Genomic DNA, 13,597 nt, shown 5'->3' on the forward strand with positions numbered 1-13,597 from the left:
AGGTGAGAACAACTGGTATAAAAAGGAAAATGTATGAGCTCTTCCCCCTAGTTCACTCCCATTGAACCAGTGCTGCTCTGCTGCCCACATAGCCTACATTCTCTTCCCTTTCCCCATCAAAACACTGTCCACAAAGTCTGGCTCAAAATCACTACTATCAAAGGTGGCTCTAATAACCTGCCTCCCCCTTGAGCTTCTGCTCTCATGCCTGTCTTTTCACAGAGTTTTCTAATGTGCTTCTTATAGTCTCATAGGCCTGTGCTTTGTCCTTCTCCATTGAAACCCCTTGAAGGCAGGGGCAGCCATGAAAGAGAAGCAGATGATTTGATTTGAGTCAAAATCCTGCTGTTTACCAGCTTGTAGCCTTGGTAGAGTCACTCGTTCTTGCTGAATTTCAGTGTTAACATCTATAAAATGAGAAGAGCAGAGTCTACCTCATAGAGTGGTTATAATGTAAAAGCAATTTATAAACTATAAAAATACTGTATATGTGTTTTCCTCAAAGAAAAACCATGCCTTTTTCTGGTATAGAGATAGCACAGGGGAAGAGGTTTTGGGAGGTGTGTTTAGGATGAAATATGACTTTTGAAAAATGCCAGATGAACATGTAAATGCATGGATTTGCATATCATATTTTGCATTTTGCTTTAATTTTCTTTTGATAGCTTTTGAAATAGGATCTTTTCTGTGTCCTTCTGAGATTAATATATAAATAACCTAATGGGGCAGTTGACAAGGCGATGCAATTTCCCTAGTTATTGACTTCAAATTCCTGGAAATGATGCCACTTATCAGCATTTCTCCCTACCCCTATTGTCTGTTGTCTTTATTCACTCAGGGAGTACCTGTGCTTGACACTGAGTATTTTTCCTTCAGAACTTATTAAAGCAGCCACTTTACAGAAAAATAGTTTCTGTACCCCCCCATCCCACTCTGCCAAGGCATTAATGTGCCCCTTTTCTGATCTTCTACACTCCTACCTTGGGCTCGCCCACCTGTGTGAACACAGGTCTACCCCTTGCGTCCCCAATCAGACTCTGATTTCATGATGTCCGGGGCTGTCTTTGCTGGATTTTGTGTTCCCAGGGGCTGGTACACTGACCAAAGCAGGTGACTTACTCATGAATGTGACAGCAGTGACTCACTAAGTTTCCAATACTACATGTCCATCTGCCTGTGGGATGTCTCCACTCCTATGACTTGTGGACACCTCAGATTCTGTGCTTCAAGGAATTAAAACTGGATCTTACTTTATGCACCAGTTATCTAAGTTTGCAAAGTAAATCATTCCAAAAAGTAGTGGCCTAAAAACAATGTAATATCTCTCATGGTTCTGTGGGTTGACTGGGTTTCTGGGTAATTCTTGCTTAGGGTCTCAGTGAGATAGTGGCCAGAGTCATCACTATGTTTTCAGTCACATGTCTGGCACCTGGGCTGGGAGGGCTGGATCATCTGGGAGCTGGTTAGGCATCTCTCCTGACCTCTTCACAAAGCCTCTCCATGGAGCTAGCTTAGATTTTTTCACAATATGGATTCAGAATAGCGGAACTCCTTACTGGCAGCTGACTTGGCCCGGAGCAAGTGCCTCAGGAGCCTACATGCCAGCTCCAAGGTTTCTTATGACCTAGCATTGAAAGCCTGAGTCCATCACTTCTGCCACATTCTACTGATCAAGTAAGTCATTAAAGCTAACCTAGATTTAGGGGAAGGGAAAATCGACTTTTCTTCTCAGTGGCAGCAGTGGCAAAGAAATAGCGGCCATATTTTACCGTATTTTCTAACAAGTGCAGTTTGTTGCCTCTGTCAATAATTCTTTCATAGCCTTACATCCCAGGAATTAAAAAAAAAAAAAAAAAAAGCAAAAACGGTGTCAAGCACAGGTGCTCCACCTAATTTAATAACAATGGATTTCATCACTTCGTCACCTCCTTGCCACTTACCCTCCAACCCTCTACCAGATTGGTTTTCACAAGATATGAACACTCCTTTTTTGAAAGACCTTTGTTTGTTCCTTCTTCTTGCATGACATCATTTAGCATTCCTTTTTTCTTATGACTTTTTTCAAATACACAGAAAAGCATAGTGAATAATGTAATAACTATTCCTTACCCAGATTTAACAATAACATCTTTCAATGTTTGTTCAGACTTTTTAAAAAAATAAAATATTACAGACAAGTTAGAAATCCTCTTGGTCCCCCTTTCTGCTCCCATTTTCCACTTTGCATTCCCAGCGGGGACCACTGTTCTGAAGTTGATTTGTATTGTTCCAAGTTTTGTTTTAATGTACCTCTGCTTAAACACTTGGTATTTTGGTGTGTTTTAATAATTTTACATGGATGGTATTGTACTTCTGAGACTTCTTCCCTAAGCCTCTCATCCAAGGATAGGAGCCCTGTTGTGGGTAGGTCATGTCAACCTACAACTAGTTTTCTCACTGTGTTTTGAGATTTATTCCTCTTCAAGGCATGTAGATCTAAAGTATTCATTTAATGTTTGAACAATATTCCCACGTATGTGTGTGTGCACGCCAGTTTAATCTTTTTTAACCTCTGCATGAACATTAATAGTCTGCAATTTTTACGAACATATATTGTCTTGTACACATGTACCAGGGTTTCTGTAGGGTATCTGCTTTACATGAAACTGCTAGGTCATCTTTAATTTTACGTGAAATTGCCAAATTGCTCTCCAAAGTGAGTGCATCAAATTATATTCCCACCAGCCATGTATATAAGTTCTAACTTCCCTACATCCTTGTCAACTTTTGGTATTGTCAAACTCATTTTGGCCAGTCTAATAGGAAGGAAATGGAACCTCACTGTTTTAATATGCATTTCCCTGTTACTGATAAGGCTAAGGATCTTTTCATGTGGCTATTGACCATTCAGATTACCTCTGCTGTGAATTTCATGTTCATATTCATTGTTCATCTTTCTGCTGGAGTCAGTGATTTCATATTGATTCATAGATTAAATATATTACTCCTTATAGTAGCTTATTTCTTATTTATGATGTCTTTTGTCAGCACTAACATTTTAATGTATTTCCATTCACCAATCCTCTCCTTTATGATTTATACTTACTGTATTTTCATTAATTTCTTCCAAAGTCATAATGGTTTGGGTTTGCATTTTGACATACTGCCTTTGGAATATTGTGTGTGATTTTATCAGAGTTTAGTCTTAGTAAACACCTATCTTAGTAAATACCTAACATGAGAACTCAGGCGTATGTTTTCCTTGATGACTTCCCTCTCATCTTTCACATTTTTATTGCGAATGTTTTAGCTACACTTGATTTTAAACCACCCTGGGTTATTTTTTTTCACAGCCAGCACCTACTTAGATTTACCTACATTCAAATTATTACCATTGCTTCCTTCGTTTTCTTTTCTGGGTTTAATCGTAGTGTTTCACGTGAAAATCTAGAAGTAGATTTTTTTCTGTTAATGTTTTATTTCACTCTCATTTTTGAATTATAATGAGTATTGGGTTTTTTCCTACTATGTTATAGTAGCATTTATATTAGTCTGGCATCTATCGATATGAATGACAAATTTGCTCATCAAATCTCATTCATTTGTTGATTTATTTTACCTCCTCAAGTCAAGTCTTCATTTGCTCCACCCAAGAGAACTCATAGTATTTTCCTTCAGTTCTGGAAAATTCTCATCCATGACCTCCTCAGACATTGCCTCTCATTCTCTTTTTTCCCCCTCACTATTCCTATTAGACCCATGTCAGTTGTTCTCACTCCAGGCTTTTAACTTCCCTGTTATATTTTCTGTATCTTTATTTTTCTTTGCTTTACTCTGGGTAACTAATTCTTGTTTTAAATGTTCTATATAAAACACAACGTTTAATGAATCAATTTTAGTTCCAGTGCACATATTTTCCATGGATAGATATTTTTATGGTTGTTTTTCAAATTCATACCTCATTTTATACTTTTTTGTGCTCCAGCTATTTTATGCTTTTCCTTTTTTTCACTGTGGCTTTCTATCATCTCTTTAAGCACTTTTCACAAATTTGTTTTTGCAGTGTCTTTTGAATTATTTTATTAGCCAGTGGTCTTGGATGCCACATCTCCTCTTTGTGAAACCTTCTGCCTCCCTTTGAGTGATTCTTTTTTTTTTTCCATAGTTGTAATTTTTTCTGCGCTCATCTTCAGCAGTGGCTATTTTTACGTGTTTGAGAGATTCCTATGCACCTAAAGTGGTGAAAATGCCCCTAAAGAGTTTTGCCTTTGCCTCTGCAGCTGCTGAGGAGTTTCATGGTTGAAACCAGTTTTTGCATTAATTCCTCAGTTTGGGACTCCTGTACCATATGGATTTTGTAGGGTGAAGCCCTCTATCTACTCTTCACCAGACTTCTAAGTTTCTTATCTATGATTCTTCTTTAATATAGGGTTCCAGTAAAACACTTTGATTAGTCTTGTGACTGTGAAACTGCTTAGGTTCAAATCCCATTTGTACTACTTTATCACTGTAGGACCTTAGAAAAGTTACCTAGCTTCTGAGCCTCAACTCCTCATCTGGAAAGTGGAGAAAATAATAGAATTTCAAAGAATTGCTATGAATACTAAATGGTAGCTGATACATATATAGAGTTTGATATCCTTATTCTAGCCATTTCTCCAGGCCAGTGAGCCAAATTTTCTATTTTTGATTTTATAGAAGGGGATGCTCTTGTAAACTCTGCTATACAGAAAACTTCTCCAATAGTTAGTCTTACGTAGTGATTTCTGCTCATGCATCTTCATGAAACAAATTCTTCTCCACTTTTTTCTACACATAACCAAATTCTGTTCATCCTTTAAAGTCACACTCAAGTCTCACTTTCTCTGTGAGTCCTTCTGTCCTTACACAAGAGACACCTGTCTCTTTTCATTCTTTCATCCCTATACATCCATTCATTTACTTGTTCATTCAAGTACCACAGTGGGTCAGGCACTGTTCCAGACTCCAGGGTGCAGCCTGCAAAAACACATACCTGCCCTTGTGGTACTCACATTCTTATGAGGAAAGACCATAAGCAAGGAAACAAATATTACCACAATAGATTCGCTGACGAAGACAAGTCCTCTGAAGAGAAATAATAGTGATTGGGAGTAGACGGGTAGAGAAGGGGAAATTATTTTCAATAGGGTGCTAACCAAACGTCCCTTTAAGAAGGATGTAATATTTAAACACACATCTAAGGAAACCAAAGTAGCAGAAACTGTGAAGGCCCTCAGGTAGAACAAGCATGTCCTGTTCAAGGAAAAGTGAAATCAGTGCAGCTGGAGTGGTGAGAGAGAGGAAGGAGATGAAGTCAGAGGATTAATAGGGCCTAGACCATGGAAGGCCCTGATGAACATGGAAAGGGGTTTTGAGTAGATGTGAAACTATCTCATTTTTAGTTTAAAATGAAGCACACTTGAATAATATGTAATTGGCCAGAGTGGAAGCAAGGAGTCCAATTAGAAAGCTTTTGCTAGAATTCAGGTGAGATGATAGTGTCTTAGATTAAGGTGGAAGTAAAAAAGGTATTGACGAATGGCTGGATCTGAGATCTAATTTTTTTAAGTAAAACTAACAGTGTCTGCTCAGGGATGTGAAAGGAGATGAGTTAATTATTCCTATGTTTCTAGCTGAGGAAACTTGGTGAGTAGTGGTACCACTTACTGAGATGGCAGTCATATTCAACTGTGCATTATTTAACAGTTAATTATTTTTTAGTGTATTTGTTACAGCTCAGCAATTAGATTGTCTGTTTCCCTTAACACAGTTAGGGACACTACATTCACATTTGATTGATTAGTTTGTTCTAGCTCTATCAATTAATAGCTGTGTGACTTTCAGCAAGCTACTTAACCCTCTAACTCAATCTCATCTGTAAAGTGGGTCTGGTACTCATCGGGTTGTTGAGACAATTAAGTGTGGCTCTTAGAATAATGGCTGGCACTTAGTAGTGCTCAGTAGTAGCTGTTATTCGTTCCAGAAACACCCCCACACCCCACCAACTGTAGCCAGTCAGCCCAGGGATCTTATGAGTTTCTCTCTACTTAGTTTGCTCAATGCAAGGTCAGACTATTTTTCAAAGGTACTTAATACTTGAGCTAATAGAGAAAATCCATGCTAGCTTTCAAATGCTACCCTGTGTGAATCTCTTTAGTTGTGTTTTGCTTTTCCAAGCCTAAAACTTAGGTGGTCAACAATTAGCAGATATTTGTTGAATGTCTACTTTGGGCTTAGCTGCTGGGATATTCAAGAGTACCAGTTAAACCTCATTTTTCCTGCCATGCATGCTTTTGATTTAGCTGTAATGAATATTTTATCAGTGACCAAATATTTTATTACCTCTCTAGTCCTTTGGGTATTGCTGGACAGATTTCAGACTAGCTGATGTCATTATTGGCCGTTATAAATTGTGTCAGTATGGCTGCCCTTTTGTATCTTGGTCAAATACAGAAAAACAGCAACTTGGAGATACAGAGCCTCTATTCAGACTTAATGGGATTAGCTGTCAATGGCAGAAATTCACAGCAGTTGGTATCCATTCATTGAGAAAGAAGACAACTTAAAGAAATTTCCAGTGAAAGATAATTACACACAGATTATCTGGTACATTCTAACACATTAGATAAAATTCCTTCATCTGCAGAGAACTGGATAGCATGCAAAGCTTTGCCTCAAGGAAAGCAATATGATATAGTGGAAAAAGCACTGGACTCAGATCAGCAGGACTGGCTGTGACCTGAGGAAATGCTCAACTTTGCCAAGACTTAGATGTTTCCCTTGTAAAAAATGAATAAAAAATTATACCTACTTTACAGGGGTACTCTCAGGGTTCAGGGAGATAATGGCTGTGAAAAGACTTGGAAATCTGCAAAATATTATACCTAAGCAAATGTTATACAAGCCTGTAGACATGTTAAGAGTTGAAAATGTGATAAGGAAAGACTTTAGGAGAGAGAGTAAATAAAGTTCCTTGCCAGGCGGTGCCTTTTCTAGGTTACTCACAAGCTGTCCCATTGTAAAGATGGCAACAAAAATAAAAATAATGACAACAGCTAACATTTACTTAGTATCTGCTGCAAAGAAGATACTGTGCCAACTCGTTTACACACATCAGTTCATTTAACCCCCAAAACAATTCCTTGAAGTGGATGTGGTTACTAACACCATTTTATGGATGAGAAATGGGTTCAAAGCAATTAAATTACTTGCCTAGTCATGCAGTTTGTGGGCTATAGAACTAGGATTTTAATTAGGCAGTCTGATGCCAGAATCCATGAGTTTAACTACTAGCCTACACAGCCTTACAGGTGGATCCTAGTATAATTGGAGTGTGAGCTCAGTATTGCCAAGTCATTTTCAGTGGAGTGATTCTGCCTGTGCCTCGAATTTGTCCCACACCTCCTATCCCCTGCTCAGAATTTCTCTCCTATCTCTACTATTTCATGCTATCCTACAATCATAGGTGCTAGAGGCTACATTGGGTAATGCTTGCTGCTGTAGCTAATAAACCTAAAAATGTATACTGATGCACACACAATAGTAAGTTAAATTATTACTGATTTAACAGAAGTAGGTCTGTAAACACATTCATGGGGTGGCCCCTGTCCACACAGCCATTCAGGTCCCCATGCTGAGAGTAACCTTGCCATCCTCAACATTTGGTGCTTGAGATTGTCTCCATTCCAGCCAATCAGAAGGGGAAGAAAGATTGAGGTGCCCCCTGTGGGAATTTCTGCTGAGGTTGCATTGGCTGGCACTCATTTAGCCATTGCAAGTGGAGCTAGAAAATATAGCCCCCTGCTGGCCGCCATGGCTCAGTGACAACTTCTCAATGTGGAATGGGCAGCACTAATTTTTGGTGAACAACTAAGAAGTGTCAGCCACAGAGATTATGGTTATTGCTAGGTGGTTTTTCATTGATGAAATTTTATTTCTGGGCTGGGCGCGGTGGCTCACGCCTGTAATCCCAGCACTTCGGGAGGCCGAGGCCGGTGGATCAAGAGGTCAGGAGTTTCAGACCAGCCTGACCAACATAGGGAAACCCCGTCTCTACTAAAAATACAAAAATTAGCCGGGTGTGGTGGTGGGCGCCTATAGTCCCAGCTACTCAGGAGGCTGAGGCAGGAGAATGGCGTGAACCCGGGAGGCGGAGGTTGCAGTGAGCCAAGTCGCGTCACTGCACTCCCGCCTGGACAACAGAGCGAGACTCCGTCTCAAAAAAAAAAAAAAATTTATTTCTTTGAGTTCCTTTAATTGGGTTCTGCAGTACACCATGAAAAATTATGGGCTCAAGGAAGGTTCTTTTGATCAAAATATGCTCTTCACTTCCTTGTTTCCTGCCACACTAATACAAAACTTATTACAGATGACCATCTCAGTGGGACAAATACTCCCTGCAATTGTTTCATACCTGCTGTCAGCATTTAAATGAACTGGAGGCTTAATTGCCTGATCTCTTTCCTTCAACAGTATTTAATTCTAAAAATTTTGAGTTTTTTAAAAATATACATTTATTGGATTTCAGGTACATAGAATTGGGTTAATTCTAACCCACAGTTCATTACATACTCATTTATGGGTCCTTGCAAGAGGTTCTATTTATTTGCTTATTTGTTAATAATAAACCATAAACCTCTACCACATGAAAACTGGAATGTTGATAATAACATATCTACAATGAGTTTATTTTCAGTCCTTTCTCTCTGCCCCCCACATCCTATGTAACTACTATCCTGACCCTTATGGTTATTTCCTTTTTAAAAATAGACGACTTTTTTAGAGCAGTTTTAGCATCACAGCAAAACGGAGCTGAAGGACAGATTTCCCATATATCCTCTATCACACATACATAGCCTCCCTGATTATCAATATCCTCTATCAGCGTGGGATATCTGTCACAATTGATGAACCTGCCTACGCTGGCACATCATCACCCAAAGTCCATAATTTACATTAGGGTTTACTCTTCATGTGGTCCATTCTATGTGTTTAGACAATTTATAATGATATGTGTTCACCATCATAGTATCAGAATGATTTCACTGACCTACAGATCCTTTGTGCTCTGCCCTTTTTTTCTTTTTTAAAAAATTTAATTAAGCTCCAGGATACATTGCAGGATGTGCAGGTTTGTTACAAAGGTAAACATGTGCCATGGTGGTTTGCTGCATCTATCAACCCATCACCTAGGTATTAAGCCCAACATGCGTTATCTCTTTTCCCTAATGCTCTCCTCCCTGACCCCACCCTCCCTCAACAGGCTCCATTGTGTGTTGTTCCCCTCCCTGTGTCCATGTGTTCTCATCGTTCAGCTCCTACTTATAAGTAAGAACATGAGGTGTTTGGGTTCCTGTTCCTGCATTAGTTTGCTGAGGATAGTGACTTCCAGCTTCATCCATTTCCCTGTAAAGGATATAATCTCATTTCTTTTTATGGCTGCATAGTATTCCATGGTGTATATGTACCAGTTCTCTTCATCCAGTCTATCACTGATGGGCATTTGGGTTGATTCCATGTCTTTGCTATTGTGAATAGTGCTGCAGTGAACATATGTGTGCATATATCTTTATAATAGATTTTTTTATATTCCTTTGGGTATATGCCCAGTAATGGGATTGCTGGGTCAAATGGTATTTCTGGTTGTAGGTCTTTGAGGAATCCAATGTCCAGAATCTACAAGGAACTTAAACAAATTTACAAGGAAAAAAACAACCCCATTAAAACGTGGGCAAAGGACATGAACAGACACTTCTCAAAAGAGGACTTTTATGCAGCCAACAAACATATTTTTAAAAAGCTCAAGATCACTGATCATTGGAGAAATGAAAATCAGAGCCACAGTGATCAGATTGGCTTTTTTCACTTAGCAATAAACACTTGAGTTTCCTCCATGTCTTTTCATGGCTTGATAGTTTTTAGTGCTGAATACTATTCCAATGTCTGGATGGACCAGTGATTCTTTATCCACTTACCTGCTGGACATCTTGGTTGCGTCCAAGTTTAGGCAATTACTAATAAAGCTGTTAGAAACATCCATGTGCAGGTTTTTGTGTGGACATAAGTTTTCAACTCATTTGGATCTTGTGGTTTAGTTTTGCAAGAAACTGCCAACCTGTTTTCCAAAGTGGCTATGCCATTTTGCATTCCCATGAGCAATGAATCAGAGTTCATATTGTTCAAACTCCTTGTCAGCATTTGATGTTGTCAGTGTTCTGGGCTTTGGCCACTCTAAGAGGTTTGTAGTGGTACCTTGTTTTAATTTGCATTTTCCTGATGACATATAGTGTATTCCCTGTGCTTTTATCTTCTGAAAGACATTGTATAAAATTGGTGTAATTTCTTTCTTAAATGTCTGGCAAAACCCACCAGTGAACATACATGGGTTGGATATTTTCTGTTTTGGAAGTTTATTATTTATTTACTTACTAAAGATAAGCCTGTTCAGGTTGTATATTCTTGTGTGAGTTTTGGCAGCTTGTGTCTTTCAAGGAATTGGTCCATTTCATCTGAGTTATCAAATCTGCAGGCATAGAGTTCTTCATAATATTCCTTGATTAGCCTTTTAATGTCCATGGGATCTGCAGTGATGTCCTGTCTTTCTTTTCTGACATTAGTAATTTGTGTCCTCTTTTTTTCTTAGTTAGCCTGGCTAAAGGCTTATCAATTTTATTGTTTTTTTTTTCTTTTTCAGGGAACCATCTTTTGGTTTTGTTGATTTTTTTTTTCTATTGATTTCTTTTTAAAATTTTTATTTTTTTCCTCTTTTTTCTTTGCTTTGGATTTAATTCACTGCGTCACACAAATTTTGATAAGCTGTGCTTCTATTTTCATTTTATTCATCTTTTAATTTCTTGTTTTTTTCTTCTACTCATTTTATTTGGAAGTATGTTGTTTTATCGCCATGTGTTTTGGTATTTTTCCAGCTACATTTTTTGTTATTTCTAGTTTAATTCCATTGTCATGTGAGAGCAGACATTGTATGATTCCTGTTTTTTTAAATTTGTGAACGTGTTTTGTGGCTCAGAATGTGGTCTATCTTGGTGAATGTTCCATGTGAGCTTGAGAAGAATGTATATTCTGCTGTTGTTGGATGAAGTAGTCTATAGGTATCCATTATATACAGTTGATTGATGGCATTGTTGAGTTCAGCTATGTCCTCACTGATTTTCTGCCTGCTGGATCTGTTTATTTCTGATAGAGGGGTATTGAAGTCTTCAACTATAATAGTGGATTCATCTGTTTCTCTTCACAGTTCTATTGGTTTTTGCCTTATGTATTTTGACACTCTGATTTTAGGCACATACCTGTTAAGGATTATTATGTCTTCTTGGAGAATTGACTCCTTTGTCATTAGGTAGTGTCATTTCTTATCCCTGATAACTTTTCTTGCTCTGAAGTTTGATCTGTCTGAAATTAATATAGCTACTCCAGCTTTATTTTGCTTAGTGTTAACATAGTACATGTTTCTCCATCCATTCACTCTTTTTTTTTTTTTTTTTTTTTTTTTTAGATAGGAGTCTTGCTCTGTCACCAGGTTGGAGTGCAATGGCACCATCTCGGCTCACTGCAACCTCCGCCTCCCGGGTTCAAGGGATTCTTCTGCCTCAGCCTCCCGAGTAGCTAGAATTATAAGCACGTGCCACCATGCCTAGCTAATTTTTGTATTTTTAGTAGAGACAGGGTTTCACCATGTTGGCCAGGATGGTCTCGATGTCCTGACCTCGTGATCTGCCCACCTCGGCCTCCCAAAGTGCTGGGATTACAGGTGTGAGCCACCGTGTCTGACCCATTCACTCTTAATCTATATCTGGCTTCATATTTAAAGTGGGCTTCCTGTGCAGAACATATAGTGAGATTTTGTTTTTTGATCCACTCAGACAAACTGTCTTTTAATTGGGGCATTTAGACCATTGACATTCAAATGATTATTGATATAGTTGCATCAATAACTACCATATTTGTTACTTGTTTCTATTCGATGCCCTTTTTCTTTGTTCCTATTTTTATCTTCCATTCTTTGTCTATCTTTTGTGGTTTTAACTGAGCATTTTATGATTACATTTTCCCTCCCTGCTTAGCATAACAGTTACACTTCCTTTTTTTACGCTGTTTTTAATGGTTGCCTAGAGTATACGATATACATTGCAACTAATCCCAGTCTACTTTCAAATAACACTTATACTGCTTCATGAGTAAGGCAAGTAAGATATAATAATTTTAATTTCTCCCTTCCATCTATTGTAACATTGCTGTCATTCATTTCACACATATATACACACACACATACAAGCATATATAATCAAATGCATTATTGCTATTTTCATCTGTTGTCTGTTAGATGAATTATGAATAAGAAAAATGGTTGTATTTTATTTTCTGATGCTTTTTATGTATGAGTTTCTGACATACATAATTTTTCTTCTAAGTTTATTTTAATATTTCTTGCAAAGAAGGTCTACAAGTTATCTCAATTTTTGTTTGAGAAAGTATTTCTTCACTTTTTTATTGTGTATTTTTAAGATATGCAACATGATATTTTGATATATATAGTAAAACGATCAGCCAAATAAATTAATATATCATTCATCTAACACAGTGGCAGGAGTGTCTAAAATCTCTTAGTGAAACTTGTGACTACAATAGTATATTATTAACTATAATTCTCACGTACATTAAATCTCCTGACTTATTCATCCTATATATCTGCAACTTTATATCTTTTGACCTATATCTCCTTATATCCTCCTGCTTCCCCCAGTAATCACCATGTCATTCTCTATTTCTATGTATTCAACTTTTTAAAAAATAGATTCCACATATAAGTAAGATCATAAGATCATGCAGTTTTTTTCTTTGTTTCTGGTTTACTTCACTTAGCATAGTGTCATCCAGTCTCATCCATGTTGTGGCAAATGGGAGGATATCCTTTTTTAAGGCTGAATAATATTCCTCTCTCTTTCTCTCTCTCCCTCCCTTTCTGTGTGTGTATCTCAGTTTCTTTACCCATTCATCCATGATGAACACTTCAGTCGTTTTCGTATGTTGGCTATTGTGAACAGTGTTGCAATGAACAAAGGAGTGCAGATATCTTTACAAGGTGGTAATTTCATTTCCTTTGGGTATATACCCAGAAGAGGGATGCAGGGATTGCAGGGTCATACGTAGTTCTATTTCTGATTTCTCTGGGCAACTCCATACTGTTTTCCACAGTGGCTGCACCAATCTACATTCCCACCAACAGTGTATGAGGGTTCCCTTTTCTCTACACCTTCAACATTTGTTATCTCTCATCTTTCTTATAATAGCTATCCTAACAGGAGTGAGCTGATACCTTATTGTGGTTTTGATTTGCATTTCCCTGATTAGTGATGTTGAACACTTTTTCATATACCTGTTGGCCATTTGTATGTCATCTTTGGAAAAATTTCTGTTCCGGTCCTTTACCCATTTTTTATTCAGGTTTCTTCTATCCAATTGTATGAGGTTTTTTAAATATTAACTCCTTATTAGATATATGGTTTTCAAATATTTGCTACCAATCTGTAAGCTGCCTTTTCATTTTGTTGATTATTTCCTTTGCTGTGCTGAAACATTT

General features: G+C 37.8%; 1 protein-coding gene across 15 annotated transcripts in view, besides 1 other annotated feature; it reads left to right on the forward strand.

The window, feature by feature from the left end:
• The window catches only part of COL6A6 (collagen type VI alpha 6 chain), a 160,323-nt gene that overhangs the window by 14,695 nt on the left and 132,031 nt on the right, over positions 1 to 13,597 (forward strand). The gene's annotated exons all lie outside the window — the stretch shown is intronic.
• Positions 7,753 to 7,822: a silencer, noted in NCBI's record as "silent region_14733". NCBI's record gives its function as "represses an Ori minimal core promoter by ATAC-STARR-seq in GM12878 lymphoblastoid cells {active_cell/tissue: GM12878}" and the evidence as "EXISTENCE:reporter gene assay evidence [ECO:0000049][PMID:35858748]".

This window comes from Homo sapiens, chromosome 3 (assembly GCF_000001405.40).
Source record: "Homo sapiens chromosome 3, GRCh38.p14 Primary Assembly".
NCBI classification, from domain to species: domain Eukaryota; kingdom Metazoa; phylum Chordata; class Mammalia; order Primates; family Hominidae; genus Homo; species Homo sapiens.